General features: G+C 37.0%; 1 protein-coding gene across 8 annotated transcripts in view, besides 2 other annotated features; it reads left to right on the top strand.

Moving 5' to 3' along the window:
- The window catches only part of UBR5 (ubiquitin protein ligase E3 component n-recognin 5), a 160,428-nt gene that overhangs the window by 105,085 nt on the left and 27,862 nt on the right, over positions 1 to 27,481 (top strand). For 7 of the 8 annotated variants that reach the window (NM_001282873.2, NM_015902.6, XM_047421849.1 and 4 more), the window contains 22 exons: positions 2,321 to 2,531; positions 3,447 to 3,573; positions 7,465 to 7,616; positions 8,069 to 8,164; positions 8,645 to 8,768; positions 9,127 to 9,224; positions 10,010 to 10,158; positions 10,632 to 10,723; positions 11,834 to 11,980; positions 12,084 to 12,202; positions 12,286 to 12,412; positions 12,505 to 12,634; positions 13,501 to 13,661; positions 13,772 to 14,011; positions 18,040 to 18,163; positions 19,350 to 19,461; positions 20,052 to 20,183; positions 20,999 to 21,256; positions 21,835 to 22,103; positions 22,278 to 22,489; positions 26,097 to 26,327; positions 27,149 to 27,222. In NM_001282873.2, coding sequence (NP_001269802.1) covers positions 2,321 to 2,531; positions 3,447 to 3,573; positions 7,465 to 7,616; positions 8,069 to 8,164; positions 8,645 to 8,768; positions 9,127 to 9,224; positions 10,010 to 10,158; positions 10,632 to 10,723; positions 11,834 to 11,980; positions 12,084 to 12,202; positions 12,286 to 12,412; positions 12,505 to 12,634; positions 13,501 to 13,661; positions 13,772 to 14,011; positions 18,040 to 18,163; positions 19,350 to 19,461; positions 20,052 to 20,183; positions 20,999 to 21,256; positions 21,835 to 22,103; positions 22,278 to 22,489; positions 26,097 to 26,327; positions 27,149 to 27,222 — 3,385 coding nt within the window. Of the gene's footprint in view, positions 1 to 2,320; positions 2,532 to 3,446; positions 3,574 to 5,175; positions 5,346 to 7,464; positions 7,617 to 8,068; positions 8,165 to 8,644; positions 8,769 to 9,126; positions 9,225 to 10,009; positions 10,159 to 10,631; positions 10,724 to 11,833; positions 11,981 to 12,083; positions 12,203 to 12,285; positions 12,413 to 12,504; positions 12,635 to 13,500; positions 13,662 to 13,771; positions 14,012 to 18,039; positions 18,164 to 19,349; positions 19,462 to 20,051; positions 20,184 to 20,998; positions 21,257 to 21,834; positions 22,104 to 22,277; positions 22,490 to 26,096; positions 26,328 to 27,148; positions 27,223 to 27,481 lie in introns of those variants that run through there. The other variant, XM_005250962.6, reaches the window with a different exon arrangement.
- Positions 17,207 to 17,256: an enhancer, noted in NCBI's record as "active region_27750". NCBI's record gives its function as "activates an Ori minimal core promoter by ATAC-STARR-seq in GM12878 lymphoblastoid cells {active_cell/tissue: GM12878}" and the evidence as "EXISTENCE:reporter gene assay evidence [ECO:0000049][PMID:35858748]".
- Positions 17,407 to 17,456: an enhancer, noted in NCBI's record as "active region_27749". NCBI's record gives its function as "activates an Ori minimal core promoter by ATAC-STARR-seq in GM12878 lymphoblastoid cells {active_cell/tissue: GM12878}" and the evidence as "EXISTENCE:reporter gene assay evidence [ECO:0000049][PMID:35858748]".

Here is a 27,481-nt window from a genome sequence, read left to right as displayed (position 1 = left end):
CAACTTTTTTGAGCAGTTTTTCTATAAAGGATGGAAATGGAGTTTAATATGGGAGCATATTCACCCTCCATTAGATTGGAGGTGAGAAGTACTTTTTAGAACTGCATCTAAAATAGACTGAATCCAGGTGCTTATGAGCACTATCTGTAAGCTTTTATTTAGACACCCAGACTCATTCTTAGCTTAGCTTTGCTTGTAACCTACTGCACTAGTGGTTTCAAACTAAAGGAGGTGATGATACAGAGGTAGCTGTGGTCTGAACTTGATGTCTAGAAATAGCCTTCATATCATTTTAGAATTCTTGATGGGTTACCAATATTGAAAAATCACAGGATTTACATTTAAAATCCAGATTTTAATTTTAGAAGATCTGGTGAAATTGGGCCTCGTAATCTACATCCCAAAAACATTAGACTGGTCTTTACAATTCATTGCAGTTCTCACTACTTAGAGTTTGTTGCTCCAAGTGCTAGTGATGCCATTTAGTATACAGCTTCTGTTATCTCTTTTACACACAGCCTCCTTCATTCATTTATATTACTTCAAGTGTAGGCATTTGATTCTGTGACCTCTTCACTTTGTCAGGATCTGACAGGTAGAGTCATCATCCCGCAGGTAGGGATGAAGTGTGTCATGATTAGTCTTTATACCTACCTCAGTGACTAGGGCCTACCACACAGTAGACCCACAAGAAATTTTTTATTGAACTCACTCTGCCTTTTGCTATAAGAATAACTGACAGATGTAACATACAATGATGCAGAGTAAACTTTTCTGCTTGTAACACAACTAAGTAGTATTGATACTCTCAGTGTGAGAGCCCATCTACTATAGTCTGGCAGGTTGGAGATAAGAGTTTCCTGTAGAGTAGTAGCTGCTTCTAACTAAATAATTTGCTGTTACTTGAAACCAGTGTATATGACAGCACCGTACAACAGAATATCTTGATTTTAGTTGCCCTTTGAAAGTACTCTGTTCTTTGTTCTTCAGGGAGACTTTGACATTTTCTCTCAACACATATTTTGTATAAATTTCCCTATGTTTTGGAAAGTTTAGTATTAAGCTCCTCATGAACTGGAGCTTGCTGTTGATGAGGTGACTTCAGAGCCATAGTTAGTTCCACAATCAAAGTGGCCTGTCTCACGTGTAGTGGATAGTGAAAATAGTTGTTTAGGTGTGTTTTCTTGTGTGGACATCTGTTCTCCACCCGCTCTCAAGTTGGGGATAGGGGAGAGCTTATTTTGACAGTTTTCCAGAAGGTGGCAAGTTGTTCAAATGCAGTTTTTTTTTTTCCTTTATACTCCCACATGCTCTTTTCCCACCTGCTTTTTTCTAGTTATAGTTAAAATGAACAACTTTGTTTTATAAAACTAAAGCTTTATATTCGATTCATTAAATATTCCACAACTACAGTTTTCCAATGTGAAAGAATGAACTTCTTGGTATATTCATGCTATTTGTCAGAAAGCTAATGATATGTTCTATAAATACTTATCAGTACCACTGTGTCTTTGTTAATTAAATTACACCTGTCATGATCCCTGCAGAATTGAAGGTATCGGTTTTCATATAACCTTTAATAGCATAAGAGGGCTGGGTGTGGGTTGCTCATGCCCAGCACTTTGGGAGGCTGAGGTGGGGGCATCACTTGAGCCCAGGAGTTTGAGACCAGCCTGGGCAACATGGCAAGACTGCCTCTACAAAAAATCAGCCTGCTGTGGTGGTGCATGCTAGCTACATGGGAGGCTGAGGCGGGAGGATTACTTGAGCCCAGGAGGTTGATGCCATAGTGAGCTGTGTTCACATCACCGCACTACAGCCTGGAAGACAGAGTGAGACACTGTCTCACACACACACAAAAGCCTAAGAAGGTGGGAGTAAGCCTGGAATAAAATTTATATCCTTTGCTTAATTGGCTATCATTATTAAAAGGGTTCTAATTAGATAGATAACATGAAGTAAAAACCAAGGATTGGCAGACTATGGCCCAAAGGCCGAATCCAGCCACTCCTATTCATTTATGCATTGTATGTGGCTGCTTTCCTGTTTCAGTTGCAGAGCTGAGTTAGTTGAGAAAGCTAAAAATATTTACTTGTCCTTAACAGAAAGTTTACCCTCCCTTCTCTATTCCTGTCGATTGTATGTTCTGCTTAAAGTGTACCCTTAAGTTCTGTTTCTTTTGGTAGGCCACCTGAAATTGTCTCTACTGATTTGCAAATCTGATTATATATTATTGTGTTGGCCATGAGAAATTTTTAATATATGTAATGTGCTACTCAAATTCATTGAGGTTTTTTTCCCCTAATTTGTCTGAGCACAGAAACAAACCTTAATGCAACACATTCTGCGCTGTGACTATGAGGCCTGTCGACAATATCTAATGAATCTTGAGCAAGCGGTTGTTTTAGAGCAGAATCTACAGATGCTGCAGACATTCATCAGCCACAGATGTGATGGAAATCGAAATATTTTGCATGCTTGTGTATCAGTTTGCTTTCCAACCAGCAATAAAGAAACTAAAGAAGAAGAGGGTGAGATTAAGAACTATAGCAAGGTCTTTAAAGGGAGTTTTAGGCAATTTTGAAAATGTAACAGTTGTTAAAGAAAAGCAAATCACTATAAAGAATTTGTGTGTCCTTTTTTTTTTTTTTTTACTTTCTCAGAAGGTAAAGATGGGTATGTAAGAAAAAAAATTTTGCACCAGTGTGTTTTTATTGTGTTTAATACTATATGATATATACAAACTGGATATGTAATGCTAAATGAACTTTACTGATTTTATAATTGCAGATGACTTATTACATGAGAATTATTTAGCAGGTTAAGCCAAGTTACATTGAGGCAACTTTTATCTAAATTTTTAGAATGTAGAGGAGAAAAATCACTTAGTGAGGTGTTATATGTTTTTGGAAGGTAAATAAGCTTTTTTTGCCATAAAGTTTTTAATTGGCTAAATGAAGGGAGAAATTGAGGACAAAGTGTTAATATGTAATTCATAATGTGTTTTTTTTTTTGAATTTGCTGATGATACTCTGGTAGCTACATTTTTGAATAGTGGTTTGCAGGTTTCTGACCTTTATGTCATTATCATTGAATCAGTAAGGATTATACATAGTACATAAACTGAGACTGAAGTACTGGTAAGTAGGTCTTTTTCTATTTTAATAAGTGAAAGCTAAATTTCAGTCTTCTTATTAATGACCTTATTTTTGCCCTTCGTGGATTGAGAAGGAAGGCGGAATAAGGAAATAAATCACATGTGAAAGATCAGATAGTTCAGTCTGTCTGAAGTGTTAGTTGCTCTAAGGAGGAAAAATTGAACAATTGGTTATCTAGTATGTGAATTAGAATACTAAATATATAGAGATTAGTGTTTAGTGGACTATACATACTCAGTGTATTAGTTCTAAAACTTAAATTGATCTTAATTTTTTCTCATTTTTCAGAAGCGGAGCGTTCTGAAAGAAATACATTTGCAGAAAGGCTTTCTGCTGTTGAGGCCATTGCAAATGCAATATCAGTTGTTTCAAGTAATGGCCCAGGTAATCGGGCTGGATCATCAAGTAGCCGAAGGTAATGTGATTTTTACCAGGAAACTTTAATTGGAGGAAAAAACCAAGTACAGAAAGCAGTATATCTCTTACCTGTCGTGTACATGAATTGGTGGGTCCTTTTTTGTTTCATTTTTGTTCCTCCCAATAACACCCTGGGAAAAATAATCTGATAACAAATTAGAGTTTAAGGTAGAGCTGGGACACTTAATAAATTTGAAATAATTTAGACAAGTAGTTTAAATTTGTTTCTTTCAATTTGTTCTAAATTCATCATTCTTGCTTCCTAGGAAGTTAGTGTGTTATTTGGAGAACAAGTAGTATAATAATTGAAGGAACCTTAATCTTTTCAGATTGCTTATTTAGGTCAGTTTCTCAGATATCTTGATCTGGGAAAAAAATGAAAGGGTGATGTGTATTATGGATGTCTGATGTTTAAATTTTCAGGCTGAGTTTTGGGATGGACAAACTTTTATAACACATTAAAAATTGCTAGGTATTTGACTAGATAATGAATATGAAGAATTCAGGATATAGTTTTCTTTCTGTAGGAAAAAAATTTATTGTCTGCTTGACAAGATCATTAATGGAAGCACTGCTCACTATGTGCTAATGTGGCAGGTTGCAAAGTCTACTTAAAATGAAGATTCTCCTTGCCTATTTTCTGTTCCATAGTTAACTATTCCTTTAAAAATGTGTATTCTTAAATTGGCAACAGGAAGGCTACCAAGTTGATCCAAGTTGATACTTTACCAGGTTCAAAAACATCCTGAAGTGAGATTTATCAAAAAGTATTCATGGGTGACCAAATTACAATTTAAAACAGTGCAAAAACTTTACGTAGACTAAACAAAATGGAAATTATCACCAGTTTATTTATTCAGGACTATGCTAGGCAGACAAAGTGTTTGGTCTAAAGTGGGAAGCAACTTAAATTCTTCATGAAGAAATTAGTGTCTGAATTATTTCAGGTATTTCATTTCCTCAGGGAAATTACAGGTGCAAATCAAGTTGGACTCTGATATGGTTGGTCCAATGCCAGTGCTGCCATCTTTTTTTCATGTCAGGATTATTTTGAAGGCAAAGACTAAAAGGAGCTTCAAGAGTGGGTGATGTGTTGCTCACAGAAATAATTTGCAGAGTAAGCTCCTTTGAGGAATTTGCCGAAGATTTCACTGCAGTGCTCTTAACCAGTTCAAACTCAGGGCTGCCGGTTGAACAGATGAAAGCACAGGAGTCTTATTATCCACGCCGGGCAGTAGGAAGTCCACAGACTGCTTCATTGAAGTGAAACCCTCCTCTAGCCTCCAATGGATTTTCTAGGCGATGCCCCTTGATGAGTATGCAGGCTGGGATTCATGAGCTGTAAGCTCAAAACTGATGCAATTTCAATATTGAATGGAATACTGTTAAATGCCTTCAGATGATGATTTGACTCAGAAGTTTTATTATGTGAACTCAATAGTTCCTGAGTACAAAGGGCAGATTTAGTGGAAAGCTTGATTGATGCATCTGATTGCAGGTGTATATACTCTAGAGATTGTTAATCTGGAAGACACATGACCTTCGCTTTTTTGTCACAGTGTTATGTTTGAACATGACTGGATTCTAAGGCTTCTGTAGCATGGATATAACGTGCTTACAAAGAGGAAATTACATCATCCTTGAATTCTTCCATATTGTCAGAAAATACGATGACTCCAGGCAAGCCTTTACGAAGAAATGTCAAAACTCTGAATCTTAGCAGCCAAGGTGGTATCTCCTCAGTATTGTCCTCAGCCACTGAGGATACAGGTGAATCTTCATGAATTGTGTACAACATCTTGAAGAATAATTTTCTTTTTTTGTTTTTTGTTTTTTGTTTTTTAAGAATCTATATGAGGAGCTGGGCATTGTACTTAAAAATGTTCCCAAGACCTAATGAAGAAAAGAGGTTAAGGACAATTTTAAAAATGACAAGGAATGGCCCCCTCATTTAATATTGAATTGACTACATCACAGCAACAAAGTTGGGAGTTTGCAAGTTCAAGATGAGACTATGGTCTCAATTTATCTTCATTTATTCTTAATCTGCTTTAAGCTAGAAGTTGGAGAATAGCCCACATAATGTTTTTTGTTTGGCCTGCGCAATGTTAAAATTTTTTTTTCCTTTAATTTGAATGCCTTCAGATAAGCATGTGTGCCTCTAGCTTGTCACTACCCCCATTTCTTACACCTGACTGCCCTTATTTTACCTTTCTGACCCATTAGCCATTGAGTTTGTGACTCTGGTGTAAGCATTCTTAAAAAGGCCAAAACATGCATTTATTTTCAGGTTATTTGCAGTGTCTCCCAATTATTGCTGATTTTTTTTTTCTTTGTGCTTTGAGTAAGACACATTAGGTAGGATACCAGGTGTCTGTTGAGCTTAATTAAGATTGTATAGGAGCATCACAGTGTGAACAGTCACCATGGTGTGTGCTGTTACTGGTAAGGAGTCTTCCTTTTCCTCTGGGTGATATCTTTGGACAGGGAAGTGATCTGGACTGAAACAGTCACTGTGCCATGCTCCCATCCACATTATAAAAACTCTTAAACTCAAATTTCTAAATTGGAAAAAGAAGACATTGATACTATAAAATAATTAACTATAGTTATTTTTTAATAGTGAATACTATAATGGCAAATATATTATTTGAGACAGTAACATTTACATTGCAGAATCTTCTAGAGTGTTTTTATTCCAAAAAATACATCATAAATCTTATAAAATAGATATGCTCTTGAACATAGCCTCTAAAAGTAATTTTTGTGAATGACTTTTTAAAAAAGGTTCCTTATAAAATTAAAAATGTATTGACATGGAAAAACACATTTATCCTCAATTAAATAATAATTGCAATTAGAGATTTAAACATTAATAAAACTTGAAATTATTTCTAGATGTATTATGCGTATCTAGTAAGGTGTTAGGTCTTTCACATGAGAATGTCATGTCTGAGATTAATTCTACATGGGAGAATGAAGTCCCTTATGCGTTTTCTGGCCCTCAAAATGAAATTTTTACTCTTTATCCATTTACAAGCTCTAAAATTGTGGCTGAGTGAAGGGATTTGCCTTTTGTGCTCTCTTAAATCATTGTTAGTTCTAAATGTATTAATTTTGTAGCCGTTGTAAGGTTTTATTCAAAGGTAAAGTATAGATTTTCATACAGATAGTTCCCATTTCCCCTAACGAGTTCTGTGTTTGTGATTATTTCTTTTTCTTTTTAGTGATGTGTACACCTGTATAGTATTTTTTTTTTATAGCAGGAGGAAAAAAACCATGCCCATACATTAACAACACATTTTATAAACTCTAGTTTCATTCATTAATTTCTTTGGGATGCAAGTTGTACTGTTAAAAATTTTTTTGTGTGTAAAAATCTAAATTGGTCTTTGTTTTAAAACTAATCATTGTGTGGATATTAGTTCAGATGCTTTTGAGATTATAAAAGGGATTTAGTGTTGAACAATACTGGTTTTGTGCTAATCAGTATGATTGCTGATGTCTACTATTAAACTTAATTATTACCGATTATAAACGGGGGATAGAAACTTTTTGTTTTAATGTTTAGCTGTTCTTTTATCTGAACTGTATGAAAGATTATTTCTAATCTTACTTCACCGCAGCTTTCGTTCCCTGTGCTTAAGTTTGTGTGGGAGCTTAATATAGTGATTTTAGTGCTGAACGGTGTACTAGGAGCCCCCAGTTTTATTTCTATCCCTCACTGACTTATTCTGTGATTCCAGAATTGGCATTTGTACTTCACTTCCCTTGCCTGGAGTGCTTGCTTGTAGGACATACTTTCATCTTCTCAGATGAGAAGTTCTGTACACCGTTTCATTATGTGTAGATATGGTAGTGAGCTCTGATTTTGTTCATGTTCTTTTAGTTTGAGATTACGGGAAATGATGAGACGTTCGTTGAGAGCAGCTGGTTTGGGTAGACATGAAGCTGGAGCTTCATCCAGTGACCACCAGGATCCAGTTTCACCCCCCATAGCTCCCCCTAGTTGGGTTCCTGACCCTCCTGCGATGGATCCTGGTAAGAGCTGTTATTTAATTTCATTTAGTGTTTAACAAAAAGAGCAGGTCATGAAAGGAAATAATTTTAACATTTTAAAGGGATATTTAGAAATTTGAAATATTTGAAAGTAGTATGATGAATATTATAACTAGTTTAGCTATAAAAATTAGATTTAAGGGATTTATATTTTAAAAATTAAAATTCCAGAACTCTTGTCAGGTATTCCACTTTTACTGAAATATTTATTTCTATACCAGTAAGAATAATCCCTTTATTAGTAATATATCAAGATAAGTCAATAGATTTGCCTAGTGGATTCCTTCTCTTGTAGTTTGGAAAAGAAGTTTCACTTAAACTCTATCCAATTTGACCTTTGGCTTGCAGAGAAAAGCCTTAAGGCCAGTTAAGAGAACATGTTAGGAATATGTTGCCTATAATGATATACATCCTACTGTTCTGTTTACTGAAAGATGGTGACATTGATTTTATCCTGGCCCCCGCTGTGGGATCTCTTACCACAGCAGCAACCGGTACTGGTCAAGGACCAAGCACCTCCACTATTCCAGGTAAGAATCTGTACTCTTTGTCTGCCTAGTCATCTGGAAGAAAAAAGGACACACTTTGGATATAGGGTTCTACAGATCTACACTTTATCTCAAGGAGACTGTTCTTTGCTTGAAAAACATCTAATTCTCTGAATTACATTCCATCTGTCAGTGCAAATATGTGGTGTCTGTGTACATACATTTAGAAATCAGATGAGATTTGTAAAATGGTGTTCATAGGTTTAAATTATTTGTGATGAAGTTAATTTATTACTGATACTAGAATATTGTTCTGGTAGCTTATGCCTGATATATTATTCCAGAATATTCTTTTAAAAAAAAATTGTAACTGCTCCTTGCAGAGCAGGGCTAGATACCCCATAGGCAGTGTACCCTATTGTCTATGTGCTTATGTGCCCCATAGGCAGGGTAGCCCAGAATATTCTTTTACTGTGTCTTCTTCATTGTTGTTTTGTACCAAATGAATCTGCTTAATTACAGGTCCTTCCACAGAGCCATCTGTAGTAGAATCCAAGGATCGAAAGGCGAATGCTCATTTTATATTGAAATTGTTATGTGACAGTGTGGTTCTCCAGCCCTATCTACGAGAACTTCTTTCTGCCAAGTAAGAGGATTTGATATATTTTTCATGTGAAGATTTAGCTTAGCTTAGCTTTTACTATTAAAGTTTATCTTCTTACACTATATGGACAATAGTTATGTAAATTTAAAACAATTTATCAGAATCCAGCATGATATTCCCTCTACTGCTAAGCTCTGTTGAGTGAAAGAGGCTGTCTCAACATCATGTAGTGTACACTAAATGAATACAAACTAGCTTTTATGTTAGTTTGATTGAGGTGTATATTTATATGTGAAAGACTAAAACAAAATTTAGTTTTTTGTTTTATCATGAACATTTATAATCAGGAAGGAAAATAAGTAGTAATTAATATTTTTACATATAATTTTTCTTATTTTAGGGATGCAAGAGGGATGACCCCATTTATGTCAGCTGTAAGTGGCCGAGCTTATCCTGCTGCAATTACCATCTTAGAAACTGCTCAGAAAATTGCAAAAGGTAATTTATTTCAGATCCTAAATGAGTTACATTCAGTTTGGATAGATTCTCTTCTGTCCATATATTATAATTATTCAGACTGGATTTCTATATATGTAAATGATACAATTGGTTGGAAATGATCAAGATTTGTGTGTGTATGAAATTCATGTGTTTATTATTCCTTCAAGTTTACTGTATCTTCCAACTTTCCATCAAAAAACAGCTGATATAAATTTATTGATTTAAGAATAAACACTCCGTAATGAACAGTGTAAAATCTTTGGAAAATAAGATGGATTACTGATAGAACCTCTTGGTAGTTAATTGGTGTTAAGTGATATAACTTTACAGAATAATAGACAGATGTCTTGTTATTTCTGACAGAATTCCTGCTAAATAGAAAGCATTAAGGAATATCAATTCTTACCTTCCAGCCTTTGAAAGATTAAAGTAGTTATCTTTTTAAAACACTGATAAATAGTTTATGAGATGGTCTATAATTTGCTAAATAGAGCCAGGAGTTGAGTCTTAACTGCCTGAAACAGAGCTAAGGATTCAGATGGCTGATGTATAGTGTGTTTGTATTGGCATCATATGTGGGTATGATGTAATTATGCTTTACTTTATATTGTTCCAGAGTTGGTTAGATTTCTTTGCATGTCATCTTTGTATATCACTTTTTAAAATTGATATATAATTTCTGGTTTATATTGTGTGTATGCTAAGGCTTTCCAGTTGAAGAAAATGGATGGCTAATTAAGTCCTTTCCTGAAAGATGAACTGCTATGTTCTTACTTTTTTAGCTGAAATATCCTCAAGTGAAAAAGAGGAAGATGTATTCATGGGAATGGTTTGCCCATCAGGTACCAACCCTGATGACTCTCCTTTATATGTTTTATGTTGTAATGACACTTGCAGTTTTACATGGACTGGAGCAGAGCACATTAACCAGGTAAGTTATTTCTACATTTTCCTGTATTAATCATATCTTTGTGTCTTTTTTCGCTATGACTATCACTAGACTTACAGTTTTCAGCTTTGGAATTAAGTCTGATATGAAGAAAGTTGATTTAATTCCTAAGTAAATGAGGCAAAAGAGCTGATTGCTCAGTTAAATATGGCATACCATGAAAATTGGAAATTTTCACTGGGTAGTATAATCTGATCCACAAATCTTGATACAGATTTTATAACTACAATGCCTTTTTGGGGATGATACAAATTATTTTTTTCTACTGGTAATATTTCTATTTGTATATCATAAACTGTATATTTGCTGTAGCCCTTTATAAGTTCTAGTTTTCCAAAGCACATTAATTTTGTTTGTTGAGATTGAATTGTTCTAGAAAATACCAGAAATAATTATTATGATGAGATATATGCATACTTATAATTATTCCTTTAAAAGTACACTCTTAATTTTAGGATATTTTTGAGTGTCGAACTTGTGGCTTGCTGGAGTCACTGTGTTGTTGTACGGAATGTGCAAGGGTTTGTCATAAAGGTCATGATTGCAAGTGAGTACAATTCTAGTTTTCTTTAGTTTAATATTATAAGCTGTTTAGATTTATATTGCTGTATGGAAATAATCTGTACTAAGTCATGTTTTACTTCAGAAAGCATGAGGTTACTTACGTTTCCCTTGTTTAAGTCAGTTTATGTATAATAGTGTGATTCTTGATTTAAAGTATACTGTGAAATGTTTGGTTTCTTTGCTAGTTCAAACATTGCCCTCCTTAAATAAAAGTAGGTGATTATACATTGTAACTAGGATCAGATTAGTCTTTTGAGAAGTATATCTACAGAATGTTCCTGAGTGTATTATGCAGCGGAGGTCTCAGGTCCCCTGTAGTGGGGTATACTAGGAGAAAATTGCCATAGGCCTAGAGGGAATCATGGTGAATGTTTAGACTGTGTCTTAAACTAAATGCAACAGTCTTTCATTCAGCAACAGTTACCACAGCTAGTTCTGTTGGTTTTCAGAGACCTGAGAAGCAATGAAATACCTAGCACTAACATCTGTGGTGTTTTAGGATTATGGATAGGGACTTCAGTATAAATGGCTACAAATGTTATAATAGAGAATTGGACTGTAAAAACCATCTACCGTACCATTAAGTAATTGTATAGGACAAATGAAAAATTTTAATAGATATTAAAAGAATTCTGGTTGGTATTTTTTGTTTTCCTTATTTTAAGTACCTAAAGGTGTGATAATCTGTTGTTATTGATTGTTTTCCAAGTGTACTAGATGCCAGGGTGGTGGTGAATAGTCCTGACAGTGTTCACATCCCTATCAGAAGCAAGAAATATCTGCCCATAGGGTTACAGGGTTCATTAGGTCATATAGGAGGACCACTTGAACAGGACTGGGAATTAGGGAAGAGATTCCAAAAGTGATTGTACCTTAGAGTACCTCTTCTCATAGGAATTCTGTGTTGCTTTATAGATGTCATTACTACCAAGTAATCCTTCTTGTTATATAAGCTTTGACAGTTATACTTTGCATTTAGAAATTAACAAGGGCTCTCTCTGGTTTCAGTGAGTTATACCTTCATAATGTCAACATAAACCTTTGTATGTTTAAAAAATTTCAGTTTTTGTACTTGTGTATAAATTCTCTATAGACTCAAACGGACATCACCAACAGCCTACTGTGATTGTTGGGAGAAATGTAAATGTAAAACTCTTATTGCTGGACAGAAATCTGCTCGTCTTGATCTACTTTATCGCCTGCTCACTGCTACTAATCTGGTTACTCTGCCAAACAGCAGGCAAGTGGGATTTTTAGAACATACAGTAAGTTAAATCAAAAGAGCGCAGCACAGCTGAGTAGCTTTTCAGCCTCCCTCCTCACGACAACATTCTGTTTTGCAGGGGAGAGCACCTCTTACTATTCTTAGTACAGACAGTCGCAAGGCAGACGGTGGAGCATTGTCAATACAGGCCACCTCGAATCAGGGAAGATCGTAACCGAAAAACAGCCAGTCCTGAAGGTGAGTTAATTAGACATTTATGACACTTGTGGGAAGCAATATGTTTTATTTTTGTTTTGGTCACTATTTCTTTTTCATTTTAGATTCAGATATGCCAGATCATGATTTAGAGCCTCCAAGATTTGCCCAGCTTGCATTGGAGCGTGTTCTACAGGACTGGAATGCCTTGAAATCTATGATTATGTTTGGGTCGCAGGAGAATAAAGACCCGTACGTATTCATTAAAACCTTTTTAGATTTATGTATTTCCTACGTTAGTGTAGACCTTTTACAGTTCATTCTGTCTTTCGTTTCTCCTCAAGTCTTAGTGCCAGCAGTAGAATAGGCCATCTTTTGCCAGAAGAGCAAGTATACCTCAATCAGCAAAGTGGCACAATTCGGCTGGACTGTTTCACTCATTGCCTTATAGTTAAGTGTACAGCAGATATTTTGGTAAGTTCTTTGAATGTGTATTACAAGTACATGAAAAGTATGTTTTTCAAGTACTCTTCTTTGCTGTGAAACTAGAAAAGAATTTAAACCTTAAGATCCAGTGCGAATGAGGTTATGGTAATAACACACTCAGATAGGGATGGGGTGGCATTGCATCGTTCCTTTCTCTGGAAAACATAAAACTATCAGTGCCCTCAGAACCTGTCATAAATAAATAATTTACGATGTGAGAAAAATAAAGGCATGTCACAGAATAATGTAAAATTTAAAAACAGAAAAATATCAGCCTAATACTAGTGTAATCTTGAATCAAATTATAGCCTGACCACTTACTGGAATATGATGCAGCAATTTAAAAATAAATCGTATTGTAAATAACGTAAAAAAAAAAACCAAACAACCAAACTGTGAAAATTGGGTGTTCTCTGTAGCTAACATTTATACAAGAAGCTGCACACAGAAAAGAGACTAGAAAGTAATAATGGTTCCATGAGGGAGATGGGATTATGAATTTATTCATATAAATATTTGAGTCTGCTTTGCTGTTTTGGAAAGTGCCCCAGACTGAGTTTATGTTTTCTTCTTCTGATTTCATATATTTGGTATTGTTCTTCTAAATATTAGTTGATATACCAAGGACTGTGGGACAAAAAATAAGAAATCGTACATTTAGGACTCACTGTATGTCAAGCACATTGGCAGGTATATTTCATAAACTGACCTTGTAAATGTTTTGGTTAAATTTGTTTTGAGATTTTATTATAAAATGTTAATACTTAAAAAATGTTAGAACTTATAACTTTATGAATGTCTAAACATCTTATGAAGTATCTTAACATTAATAGAGTGAATATAATTTTTTAAAGCTTTTAGATACTCTACTAGGTACACTAGTGAAAGAACTCCAAAACAAATATACACCTGGACGTAGAGAAGAAGCTATTGCTGTGACAATGAGGTTTCTACGTTCAGTGGCAAGAGTTTTTGTTATTCTGAGTGTGGAAATGGCTTCATCCAAAAAGAAAAAGTAAGGCATCCTTTTTGATTTTGGTTTAGATACCATTTTCACTCTGTTTTTGTGATAGTGATTTATGTATATGAAAAGATAGATTGCTGATATTTCTCTTTTTGTTCTAGCAACTTTATTCCACAGCCAATTGGAAAATGCAAGCGTGTATTCCAAGCATTGCTACCTTACGCTGTGGAAGAATTGTGCAACGTAGCAGAGTCACTGATTGTTCCTGTCAGAATGGGGATTGCTCGTCCAACTGCACCATTTACCCTGGCTAGTACTAGCATAGATGCCATGCAGGGCAGTGAAGAATTATTTTCAGTGGAACCACTACCACCACGACCATCATCTGATCAGTCTAGCAGGTAAATTGCTACCAGGTAACAGATTCTGATTAATCCTTCTCTGGAAATGTCGTGTTTGACTTCCTAAAACCTTTGCATAAGCACTCAGGTGGTGTACATGATCATTTGTGTAACATAAATAACAACCAGAAAGCCGGAATTTTAAATATTTTTCTACAACAACTGTATTATCAAGGACAGGGCTAAAATAACTCCATTATAAATGTTTCTAATTATAAGATTATTTGTTCTTAAGTTTCATTTATCTTTTCTATTTGTTTGATAGTTTCCCTAATTACACTGTAAGCTTGTTGAATCAGGATGTTGAGCAACTTAAAACTTTCCGATGTCCTTTAGCACACTGCTTCTCAAACTTTAATATGTATGAAAATGACTTGGGGCTCTTATTAAAATATAGATGCCCACTCTAGAGGTCTTGAGGTGGGGCCTCCAACTTCGTATGCCTTTCAAGTTCTCAGGTGATGCCAATTCTGCTGGTTTAGGGGTCAGACTTTTCAGTAATAATGCTGTAGATCTTTGGCAAATATTTAGTGTATTTTGTTTTTTCAAGTCTGATTTTATAACCATGTGCATGTGTGATGATGTTTTAATAAGGACCTTTAGGATCTAAAGACCCTTTTCCTCCTTTTCTGGAAAACATCTCTGTTAATAAGGATGGCCTGCTTTAGTGTTTGGGATAGTTCCCAAGTTGTTACGCTTGGATTTGATCTGGGTTGGTGTTGAGTATCTGCTCTCACTATTCTCCTATATGCCAGTATATGTGTCCCAATTTTTCCTTTAATGTCAGGTGTCCCTTTAATCTAAATCCAGTTTTGTCTGACAGAGCTCTCCCATAGTATCCTTGATACTGATATACATCCAGGACTTGTTGAAAACTGTTACAAATCAAGCTGTGTATCTTCAGACTTGTCAAATCTATCCCATGATTAAATAATTCTGCTTGTGAGATCTGCTTGGACTCTGTATGATTTTCCTGATCTTGATACCCTGTGAGGAACTCATTAGTTACTTAAGTGGTATTACTTTGTGAATTCTTAGTATACTTCCCTTGATCTTGTTCTGGAACATAAAAAATTGATGGCTGTTGAACAGATTTTGGGATCGTCTCATCTCTAAACACTGCCCTTGAAACTGTTCCTACTAAGTTTCAAGATTTTGTGTCATCTTGTTCTTAGTCTCATTATTAAAGTATTACATACTCTTAAACTCTCTTTATTCCATTCCCTTTGCTTGTTTCTTGAGACAACTTCCTAAATCTTCCCAGAAGGAGATCTCATGTGATAATCAAGAAATAGTGCTAATGTTTTCTTCAACTGTTAAAAGTTCTTTATTATAGTACAGTACATTCTTACCCATAAAGGGTGTATTTTGACTAGTGTTCCAAGGATGTCTTAAGTTGAAAAACACAGACCTTGACCATTCTCTGGGATTTCACTTGTCTTGGATTATAGAAGGTGTATATCACCCCATTGAGTGTGAAGTCTTAAGAGTAGCTTTTTCTGTTGCTTCTTTCCACCTCTTGAAAATGTTCTTGTTATGTTCTTAATAAATAATCTGTTTCTACTTTATTTCCATGTCTCTCATATAACAGTAACTAACAGTTACTGAAATTTTAGTATGTACTAGGAACTTTCCTAAGTATTGTAGACAGATTACCTGTTTTAATTTTCCCAATATGTCATAGATAACCACTATCATTCTAGTTTGTCAAATGGGGAAACTACGGCTCAGAAAAGTTAGGCAACTTCTCCAGTGTAACACAGCTAATTAAAGTTTAGACGCTGGACTTACCTTGACAGATACTTCCTTTTTTTTTTGTATTCTCCTGAATAGTAGATGGCAGAGTAGAGAGGAAGACTACTTGGTGCTTGCTCATAGTGTTGAGCCACCACACAGTTAACCAACACTGAACCAGGCTTTATAGTGTAGAGTGCAGTCCAAAACTCTCCAAAATGCAGACTTGTAGTTAGAAGTTCTCAAAAGAGACCTTTTTCCATTCTGCATCTATTCATGGCTGAGATAGGTAAATCTCTCGAGGTATGATTTTTCTGTTTCACTCCTTCATGGTGTTGCCCTTTTAAGATTTATGTTTAGCTTTATATATGTGAGGGGGACAGAAGAGGAGATTCCTGTGATGACTTTCTATTCTTTGCTTAGCCTCCAGACTCTCATGTGAAATCTGTGGTTCCTTGAAGCCCTTCTAGCCCAAGAGACATCAGTGGGTCCCTTTGGGATAAATGGTGGCACTTGTCTCTCCAAGCTTTATACAGTACAGTCGTTTCTCTTTATCACCTGCACAGCTGTCCTTTTTTTTTTTTTTTTTTTTAATATCTAGCATATATATGTGTTCCTTAACAAGAGTGGTTTCTCTGCACAGTCTGCCAAATTGCTGGAACTAGAAGTCCCCAAAACTTAGTAGTGTATTAACGGGGCTTTTTAGACTAGGCTTCAGGACTGTTGTGCTTCATTGTGCCAGCAAGTCTGTTGGGAAAAAAGTTGAAGTCACACTAACTGGGGAGTTACACAGGTTGAGTATTCCTAATCTGAAAATGAGAAATCTGAAATGCTGCAAAACCGGAAACTTTCTGAGCACCAACATGATGCTCAGAGGAAATGCTCATTGGAGCATTTTGGATTTTGGGATTGAGGATGCTCAACTGATAAATATATATAATGCAGATACTCCAAAATTTAAAAAAAAAAAAAAAAACCCAAGATCAAAACACTTCTGGTCCCAAGCATTTCAGGTAAGGGATGTTCAACTGTAATACGTTTTATGTATTGGTATTTTTAAATTACTCTTTTTAAATTTTTTGTAGCGTTTGGGTCTCGCTGTGTTGCCCAGGTCGGTCTTAAATTCCTGTCCTCAAGCAATCCTCCCACCTCAGCCTCCCAAAACATTGGGATTACAGGCATTAGCCACTATACCTAGTCTGTTTTGGCAGTATTATACATACTAACTGCATAACTTCTTAAAGTAACCACTTTGAGGGGCCTATAGTTCTTGTGGATGTTTGTTCTAGGATGTTTGTTTTAAAAAAGAAATACTCATTAGTTGTGGCTTCACACAGTGCTTTTATGTTTTAATATTGAAATCTCTTTAGTGGTTGGAAATACCCTTTTTCATCTCTACAGATTTTCTCTTAGCCTTTCCCACTTTTGTAATCCACGATCTCTGTTTTACCAGTTACTTATAGTTCTAGTGTTAAACATCATATTGAGACTACTTATCTGTTTGTTTGAAGGCATGGTGTTTCAGTCAACTCTCAGGTCTAATTGGTTTGATTCTCATTTCTCATAGCAACTGAGATAGGAAAGAACCTGTCAGTGCAATCACTTAAAGGTCTTTTGACTTCAACATCTTTTACCCCGTTTCATAATCTATAAATAATAGGTGACAGGGTTATTTAGCCACCAGTTTCAGATTTCTGGCCTGTATTTTAAGCTGTATTTTCTGGTTCCCCCTTTTTGTTTTATAATCCAGTCAACTGTCTTTTCTTGGTTGTCTCCAAATCAGGTGTTTAGGGAAGTGAAACTTTTGCCACTTTGCCTTTGGTTATGACTACTTTAAAATCATGCTTTTGAACTGATGTTTTCCCCACACACATCAGCAAGTCATTAGTTAATAAGCTCATTCAAAATAGAAATCATGTCAGATCTCTTAAAAGTTAGATCACTTCTATTAAACACTTGCTGTTAATGGACAGATGGTGCTACCAGAGTTTTTAGAAATAGAACTGCTGGTGGAGGAGGAAAAATCTTCCTGTAGAATTTTTCGATGGGATGGACTCATACAAATAATGTGCATCAACACAGATTTGAAATGACTTAAAAAGAAAAAACATATTCTGAGATTTATATTTTCTGATATATAGATTAAGTATTGTTGGTTTCTAAGAATTCTCAGCTCAGATTTAAAGTCACATCCTAGCAAGTGTCTCACATGTAATAAATGAGTTAAATAAAAATATGTGTTGCATATCTGAGCTGTGGCAGGAGCCCACTCATAAGCTTCTGATTCTTTACAGCTCCAGTCAGTCTCAGTCATCCTACATCATCAGGAATCCACAGCAGAGGCGCATCAGCCAGTCACAGCCCGTTCGGGGCAGAGATGAAGAACAGGATGATATTGTTTCAGCAGATGTGGAAGAGGTGATTTTAATTGTGGTAGATTTAAAAAGCTTTTATTTTATGAGAAAAGAAGAGTAGTCAGTAGAAATTACATTAATAGTAGCTTGAGACTACTATATGCGTTTGCATCCAGTTTGTAGATGTTTATTATATATTCTCATTTGTGGTTATACATAGTAAAATTATTTTAATAATTTGTGACTTACTGGATATTAGGAAATTGGACACAAACTTGTCTTTAAGGATTAAGGGTGGAGATATTCTCAGTGTTAACAGCAAAGATATTCTGGGTTTTTTTTTTTTTTTTTGGAGACAGAGTCTCGCTCTGTCACCCAAGCTGGAGTGCAGTGGCGTGATCTCGGCTCACTGCAACCTCTGCCTCCCGGGTTCAAGCGATTCTCCTGCCACAGCCTCCTGAGTAGCTGGGATTACAGGCGCGCACCACCACACCCATCTAATTTTTGTATTTTTTAGTAGAGACGGGGTTTCACTATGTTGGTCAGGCTGGTCTCGAACTCCTGACCTCGTGATCCACCTGCCTCAACCTCCCTAAGTGCTGGGATTACAGGTGTGAGCCACCGCGCCCAGCCAAGATATTCGTAATGTTAGAAAAATTTAGTAGTTTTGTACAATGTATTTGAAAGAGGATACTACATATTTATGAGGTAAATTCTCTCCTCCCTGCCCCTAGTATAATTTTTATACTTCTAACTTGAGGGTTCTGTATATGCTCAGTAATGAACTTTGGGATCTGTGGGTATAATTTTTTTATTTTTTTGAGATGGAGTCTTGCTCTGTTGCCAGGCTGGAATGCAGTGGTGCAATCTTGCCTCACTACAACCCCCACCTCCCGGGTTCAAGCAATTCTCCTGCCTCCGCCTCCTGAGTAGCTGAGACTACAGGCACGCACCATGCCCAGCTAATTTTTGTATTTTTAGTAGAGTCGGGGTCTCACCATGTTGGCCAGGATGGTCTTGATCTCTTGACCTTGTGATCCGCCCATCTCCGTCTCGGCCTCCCAGAGTGTTGGAATTACAGGTGTGAGCCACCGTGCCCGGCCAGGATATAATTTTTGATAGCAAATTGTCACTAACAAATGAAGATTTTCAAAACTGCTTGATATATGATTTCAAATTCTCTATAGTTAGTGGTCTTCGCATTTTAGTTAACTAGCTTTGATTGTCTACAAATAAGATTCTGGATTTAGGTTGAGGTGGTGGAGGGTGTGGCTGGAGAAGAGGATCATCATGATGAACAGGAAGAACACGGGGAAGAAAATGCTGAGGCAGAGGGACAACATGATGAGCATGATGAAGACGGTATGCAGGTTATTTGAGAAATTACTCAGTATGAGTAAATCAGGTACTTTTAAAGGGAGATATTAAATACAGAGAGAAACCTCATTTGAATGTATAGTGAAATGGTCAAACTTATTTTTTGCCAAGGGTTTCTGTAGCATCTATTTAGAAAATTTAGGCGCTATATATAATACATATATAAAATAGTTTCCCTTTTTTCTTTTTAAGTCAGTTTCTTAAAAGACTTTTAAAAACTAAAATAATCATAGTCGCATTATGAAACATTTGGAAATTAGAGAAAAGGAAAATAAATCACCCATAATTACACCCAGATGCTAATAGCTTGTATATTTACTTTCAGTCCTCCCCTGCACTGCCCTGATGTACTAGTCTGTTGACTACCATAATTTCCCTAGCCATTCTTCTAAGGTTGAGTAGTTACTTAGTCTTATTTTAGTAGTTATCCCTTCTCTTTCACACCATTCCCCTTCTCCCCAACTCCTACCCCCTATGCCTTCTTAGTTCCCACCCTTACGATATTCTGGCTTATCAGACCCTGTTTTAAACCATAGTGAGTTTGTGCTTTTTTCTTATTTAAATGTATTTTTTAGGGAGTGATATGGAGCTGGACTTGTTAGCAGCAGCTGAAACAGAAAGTGATAGTGAAAGTAACCACAGCAACCAAGATAATGCTAGTGGGCGCAGAAGCGTTGTCACTGCAGCAACTGCTGGTTCAGAAGCAGGTATGTTGCCTTATCCCAACTACTTTCTTGCTTATGCTAAGGCTGTGTGTGTGTATTCAGCGTGGATTGGGTCATACTTTGTGTGATATACGCAAGGGTAGCTAAGCATTTTTATAACTTCATCCTTGTTCTCTGGGTATTAGAAAAGAAAGTATTATTTTAATAACTCTTTCTCCAGCTTTTCTGGTCATTAAATAATGAATGAATTTTAAAGTTTCTTTAAAAGATTTTTATTTTCTTGCCTTTTTTTTTTTTTTTTTTTTTTTTAAATTGGGTCTCATTCTGTCACCAGGCTGGATATTCCAGTGGTGCAGTCAGAGCTCTTTGCAGCCTTGACCTCCTGAGCTCCTACCTCAGCCCCCTGAGTAGCTGGGTCTACTAGGTGCAAGCCACCACATCGGGCTAATTTTTTTTTTTAAAGAGTTGGGATCTTACTGTGTTGCCCAGGCTGGTCTTGAGCTCCTGAGCTCAAGCAGTCCTCCCACCTCAGCCTCCTCAGTTGTTGGGATTATAGGCATGTGCCACCACACCCAGCTAAAAGTTACTTATTCAGGAGGCTGAGGCATACAAATAGCTTGAACCCAGGAGGCAGAGGCTGCAGTGAGCCGACATGGTGCCACTGCAGTCCTGCCTGAGCCACAGAGCTGGGCTTGAAAGTTATTTTCTAATAAAAACTATTTTATGGTAGGTTTTGTGGATTATTGAATACAATCTGGCATTCTGTTTAATATGTATGTTTTCCTGAATGAGGGGGTACATTGTAATTTTAATTATTAAACTCACAATGTTTTTGGTTTTAAAAATAAAAATTTTAGGAGCAAGCAGTGTTCCTGCCTTCTTTTCTGAAGATGATTCTCAATCGAATGACTCAAGTGATTCTGATAGCAGTAGTAGTCAGAGTGACGACATAGAACAGGAGACCTTTATGCTTGATGAGCCATTAGAAAGAACCACAAATAGCTCCCATGCCAATGGTGCTGCCCAAGCTCCCCGTTCAATGCAGTGGGCTGTCCGCAACACCCAGCATCAGCGAGCAGCCAGTACAGCCCCTTCCAGTACATCTACACCAGCAGGCAAGTCTGAAAACTTAGTATTGCTAAGAATACTTAGATAGATTTTTTAAATTATGCATGTTCATCTGGGGATAAAATTAGTTTTATGATAGTTCCTCATTGTTTTGTTGAGTTTCAAATATAAAAAATATGTACATATGATTATAGCAGGGTTTCCCAGTCTTTGCATTATTGCATCTTTGGACTGGGTAATTGTGGGAGGCTGTCTTGTGCATTGTGGGATGTTAGGCAGCATCCCTAGCCTACACCCACTAGATGCCAGTGAAACCCCTCTCACCCTTCTTCCCCTCCCCTTGGCTCCCACAGTTGTGATAACCAAGAATGTCTGTAGATACTGCCAAATGTGTAGCCCCTTTGGCGGGGGGAGGTGGCGTGGGGGTCAGATTTCCCCTGGTTGAGAACTTTATATTAATTCTTGTCCCCTCCATACTCCTCTCCCCAAAATAGTGTGGTTTAGGCAAAGTTTTTTGCTTGGGTACCACAATTGACCATTTAGATTTACGTAAGTATATATAATCCCAGAGAAACACAATTAGCAACTGACATTAGCTCATTGTGGTTGTCCTTTTTCCTTATAGCAAGTTCAGCGGGTTTGATTTATATTGATCCTTCAAACTTACGCCGGAGTGGTACCATCAGTACAAGTGCTGCAGCTGCAGCAGCTGCTTTGGAAGCTAGCAACGCCAGCAGTTACCTAACATCTGCAAGCAGTTTAGCCAGGGCTTACAGCATTGTCATTAGACAAATCTCGGACTTGATGGGCCTTATTCCTAAGTATAATCACCTAGTATACTCTCAGATTCCAGCAGCTGTGAAATTGACTTACCAAGATGCAGTAAACTTACAGGTATGAAACCACTGAAAAGTTTCCCATTCCACTATTTTTTTTTGGCTGTCAATTATGAGAATTCCAGTATTAGGGGAATTAAATGTTAGAAACGTTTACATATTGACATACTGCTGCTGTATCGAATTTAGCTCTATTTGGATAGTTTTAACTATTTTAGTTTGGTCTTCATAGAACTATGTAGAAGAAAAGCTTATTCCCACTTGGAACTGGATGGTCAGTATTATGGATTCTACTGAAGCTCAATTACGTTATGGTTCTGCATTAGCATCTGCTGGTGATCCTGGACATCCAAATCATCCTCTTCACGCTTCTCAGAATTCAGCGAGAAGAGAGAGGATGACTGCGCGAGAAGAAGCTAGCTTACGAACACTTGAAGGCAGACGGTATGAAATTCTTCATATATACAGAACGTCCCCAACTTAAAATGGATCCTCAACTTACAATTTTTTGTTTGTTTGTTTGTTTGTTTTTTTGAGACGGAGTCTCACACTCTTACCCAGGCTGGAGTGCAGTGGTGCCGTCTCGGCTCACTGCAAGCTCCGCCTCCTGGGTTCATGCCATTCTCCTGCCCCAGCCTCCCGAGTAGCTGGGACTACAGGCACTTGCCACCCACGCCCGGCTAATTTTTTGTTTTCTTAGTAGAGACGGGGTTTCACTGTGTTAGCCATGGTGGTCTTGATCTCCTGACCTTGTGATCTGCCCACCCTGGCCTCCCAAAGTGCTGGGATTACAGGCGTGAGCCACAGCGCCCGACCCCCAACTTACATTTTTTTTTTGACTTTGTGATGGGTTTATTGGGGGTATTAAATGCGTTTAGACTTTATGCGTTTATGATGAGTTTATCAGGACATAACCACATCTTCAGTCAAGGAGTATCTATACTTGCATGTTTAGATAGAATCTTTGTATCCTAGAAGGTTAAAGCTTTTTAGTTGCTATTATGTAAGACCTCATCTTACTGTGAAGGGAGAAAGAAATGACTTGCTTGCATTACTTAAATTGTTGAGGCAGAATAGGCTAGTTATCATCCAAGCTGTTTTTAAAAATCCATTCATATCGTAGGAATCTGATACTAAAGCCTTTTTATTTTTGAAGTTATTGGTCTATATCTTTGTCTCATTATCCCCAAGACCTCCCCCTCTCCTCTTAGGAAGTTATTTTGACTATAATTGGTTATGAATGTACTTTGTACTCAGGAGGGGGAAAGTATGTGTGATTACCAGTGCTGCTCTTTTTTTCTCAAATCACATTTCTTTTTTTCTGCCTCCCCTAGTCTGTTGAATTAAAATAAAATATATATCTATGTATTTGTTATGTTCTTTCTATTCAGTTATAAAGTGACCTTTTTCAGGAGTAGGTATCAGCTCAAATATTGAACATCAGAGCAATAGCAGTAATATAGTAAAAGTGCCTCATACCTGAAGTCAAAATCCAAGGATTTGGTTCTGTCTCTACCTCAGGATAAACAACTTTGTTACTCTGGGCAGATCATAAAGTGAGGAAAGACAAAGGTCTAAGAGATTACTTAGAAAGACAGTGATAGGCATCTACAGTAGAGGTAATAGTTACTAAAGTAGGGCAGTGAAGACCAAAAGGAGGGGAGAGAAGCATTGAAATAAAAAACAGAATTTAGGGCCTTGTTGAGGGATTAAGTAGCAGGGGCATCATTTATATTTAAACCTTGATCCTGAGTAACTAATAGGAAAATTAAAGAGAAAAACCTAAGAGTAGTATAATGGACAAACTTGCTTTTGAACATGTGAGAACTGGGGGAAAAAAAATGGTAGAAATGTCAAATGTGCAGAATTGAATGCTTGGCAAAGATAGCTGTACTGAAGATAGTGATTTGAGAGGTAGCAGCTTTCCTGTCCTAGGAACGCTGCTTCACAAAGACGAAAGCCTTATCTTTGTTAGGCTGTAGTTGTTACCCCAGAGAACACAGAATTCTGATAGCGGATCTTGATTGGTGGCAGTGTTCTCTCTCCCTTCTCTCTGTCAGCTTTAATATAATAATTCACATATCACATATAATTCACCCATTTAAAGTGTCCAATTCCATAGTTTTTCAGCCCTTCATCATAATGAATTTTGGAATATTTTAATCCTCTCTACAGAAAACCTATTAGCAGTCATTCTTCATTTTCCCCTACTCACCCCCCCCCCCCCCCGCCTTCCCCTTCCTAAGCAACTGTTAATCTGTTTTCCCTCTCAATAGATTCTGGATATTTCCTGTAAATGGAATCATACAGTATGTGGTCTTTTGTGACTGGGTTCTTTAATTTAGCATAATGATTTTCAGGTTCATCTATATTTAGCATACATCAGTACTTCATTCTTTTTCATTTCCTAGTAACATTTCATTGTATGAGCGTACTATATTTTGTTTATCCATTCATCAGTTGGACATTTGGGTTGTTTTCACCTTTCCACTATTATGCATAATGCTCATATGAACTTTTGTGTATAGATTTTTGTGTAGATGTGTGTTTTCAGTTCTCTTGAATATATACCTAGTTATGGAATTGCTGGGTCATATGGTAACTCTATTTGTAACTCTTTGAAGAACTGGCAATACTGTTTTCCAAAAAGGAAGACAGTCTCAGTAGCAGTGTGTGTATGAGAGTTTTAGTTTTTCTACATCTTCACCAGCACTTATTATCTGTCTTTTGTTATAACCATCCCAGTGGGTGTGACCTAGTATCTTTGATTTGCATTTCCCTAATGGTCAGTGATGTTGATCATCTTTTCATGGGCTAACTGGCCACTCGTATATCTTCTTAGGAGAAATGTCTTATTTGGATCCTCCCGTCGCCACCACCCCCTCCATCTTTTTTTTTTTTTTTTTAAATAGAGTTTCACTCTTGTTGTCCAGGATGGAGTGCAGTGGTGTGATCTTGGGTCACTGCAACCTCTGCCTCCCGGGCTCAAGTGATTCTCCTGCCTCAGCCTCCTGAGTAGCTGGGATTAGAGGCACCCGCCACAATGCTAATTTTTTTGTATTTTTAGTAGAGACGGGGTTTCGCCATGTTGGCCAGGCTGGTCTTGAACCCTGACCTCAGGTGATCCACCCACCTTGGCCTCCCAAAGTACTGGGATTACAGGTGTGAGCCACTGCGCCTGACCTTGCCCATTTTTTAAATTGGTTTGTCTTTTAAAATTGAGGTGTATGAGTTCTTTATTCTGCATGTAAGCCCATTATCAAGTATATAATTTGGGAAGATTTTGTCCCATTCTCTGGGATATCTTTTCACTTTCTTGGTGGTATCCTTGAAAGTACAATTTTAATTTTCGTAAATTCCAATGTATATCTGGGTGTTTGTTTGTTTGTTTGTTTGTTTTTTGAGACAGGGTCTCGCTCTGTTGCCCAGGCCGGAGTGCAGTGGCGTGATCTCGGCTCATTCCAGCCTCCACCTCCCAGTTTCAAGCAGTTCTCCTGCCTCAGCCTCCCAGCTAGCTGGCATTACAGGCACCCGCCACCATGCCCAGCTAATTTTTGTATTTTTAGTAGAGACAGGGTTTCACCATGTTGCCCAGGATATCTGTGTTTTCTTTAGTTGCTTGTGCTTTTGGTGTCATTTTAATGAAGTGATTCTCAAAGTATGGTCCCTAGAACAACACCATCAACCTCACCTAAGAGCTATTTAGAAATGCAAATCCTGGGGCTTTACCCCAGACCTACTAAAACTCTGGGGATTAGACCAGAGGTCTGTTTTAATAAGCCCTCCAGGTGACTTTGATGGACCCTGAAGTTTGAGAATCACTGTCTTCAGGGAAAGAATTCATTTTGCCATTCCAAAGGATACTGGAATTCCTTTTCTATACAAAGTATAAGGCTGTAAATCATGCACAGTGGTTATATTTCTAAAGCTGAGCAGCAGGCTTAACTACTTTGTATTTATGAATATTCTCAGCTCCTAATTTTGCATATTTATGATAGTGAATTTCACATTTGTATTCTTCTAATAAACATTTTCCTTTCTGTTCTTATAGACGTGCCACCTTGCTTAGCGCCCGTCAAGGAATGATGTCTGCACGAGGAGACTTCCTAAATTATGCTCTGTCTCTAATGCGGTCTCATAATGATGAGCATTCTGATGTTCTTCCAGTTTTGGATGTTTGCTCATTGAAGCATGTGGCATATGTTTTTCAAGCACTTATATACTGGATTAAGGCAATGAATCAGCAGACAACATTGGATACACCTCAACTAGAACGCAAAAGGTATCCATTCTTGCCATGAGGTTGATTTAAGAAATACTTGCTTGGTATGGTCTTCTTTAGTACATTGTCAACATTTGGAGTAAGGAGAATAGCATTGCAAAAGAGAACTAGCACAGGACCATTTCATATAGGAAAGTGGGCTTGAATTTATCCAACCTTTCCCCATTGCCACTCTTCACTTAAAATAGGAAACCTAAGAATCTGGTTAAACTTCATGCTTGAGATAGTTTGGCCTGGCCTGATTATCATCTTTATTTTTTCCTTTTTTTTTTTTTTTTTTAAAGAGACAGAGTCTGACTCTGTCACCCAGGCTGGAATGTGATGGTGCGATCAAAGCTCACTGCAACCTTGAATTCACGGGCTCAAGTAATCTTCCTGCCTTAGCCTTCTAAGTATATAGGACTTACAGGCGTGTGCTACCATGCCTGGCTAATTTCTTAATGTTTTGGAGAGACAGTGTCTCATGATGTTCCCCAGGCTGGCCTTCAACTCCTGGCCTAAGTGATCCCCCTGCCTTAGTCTCCCAAAGTGTTGGGATTACAGGCATGAGTTACCATGCTCAGCCCATGTTTTCTGTTAGAGTTTGTGTAGGTGCTCGTTATTTCTTAGGTGATTTGCTTTTTCTTCTGTTGAGTCCATTTTGTAATAATAGTACCTAAACCTGTTCACTCTACCATTTCCCAGATTCTGAAAATGTTTGAAATTGGTTAGATACATTAGCGACCTTTTTAGTGTGTTTTTGCTTGTATTTCCTCTGACTTTTGCTCCTGTTCATATTATACAAATACTTCAAGTAAAATGACTCACTTGTCTTTTTAAAGGACGCGAGAACTCTTGGAACTGGGTATTGATAATGAAGATTCAGAACATGAAAATGATGATGACACCAATCAAAGTTAGTGCACAGAAAATCTGCTAATCTACTTCAAGAAATGGCTGCCTCAGTAGTTCCCCTTCAAGCTTTTTAACTTCATTATTTTCTGTCTGGGTGGGAATTTCTCTTTTCTTCTCTATGTCTCATTTCTTACATTTTCTGTCCATTTTTGCTTACACATTCTTGCGTTATACATTTCACAACTAAGGATGTATTAAAGAAATGTTATAAACTTTCCAACAATATTTTTTCTTCTATCTTTTCTTGTATTTGTCTTAGT

This window comes from Homo sapiens, chromosome 8 (genome assembly GCF_000001405.40).
Source record: "Homo sapiens chromosome 8, GRCh38.p14 Primary Assembly".
NCBI classification, from domain to species: domain Eukaryota; kingdom Metazoa; phylum Chordata; class Mammalia; order Primates; family Hominidae; genus Homo; species Homo sapiens.
The sequence above is the reverse complement of the archived record's forward strand: the minus strand, read 5'-3'. Positions and strand labels throughout refer to the sequence as shown.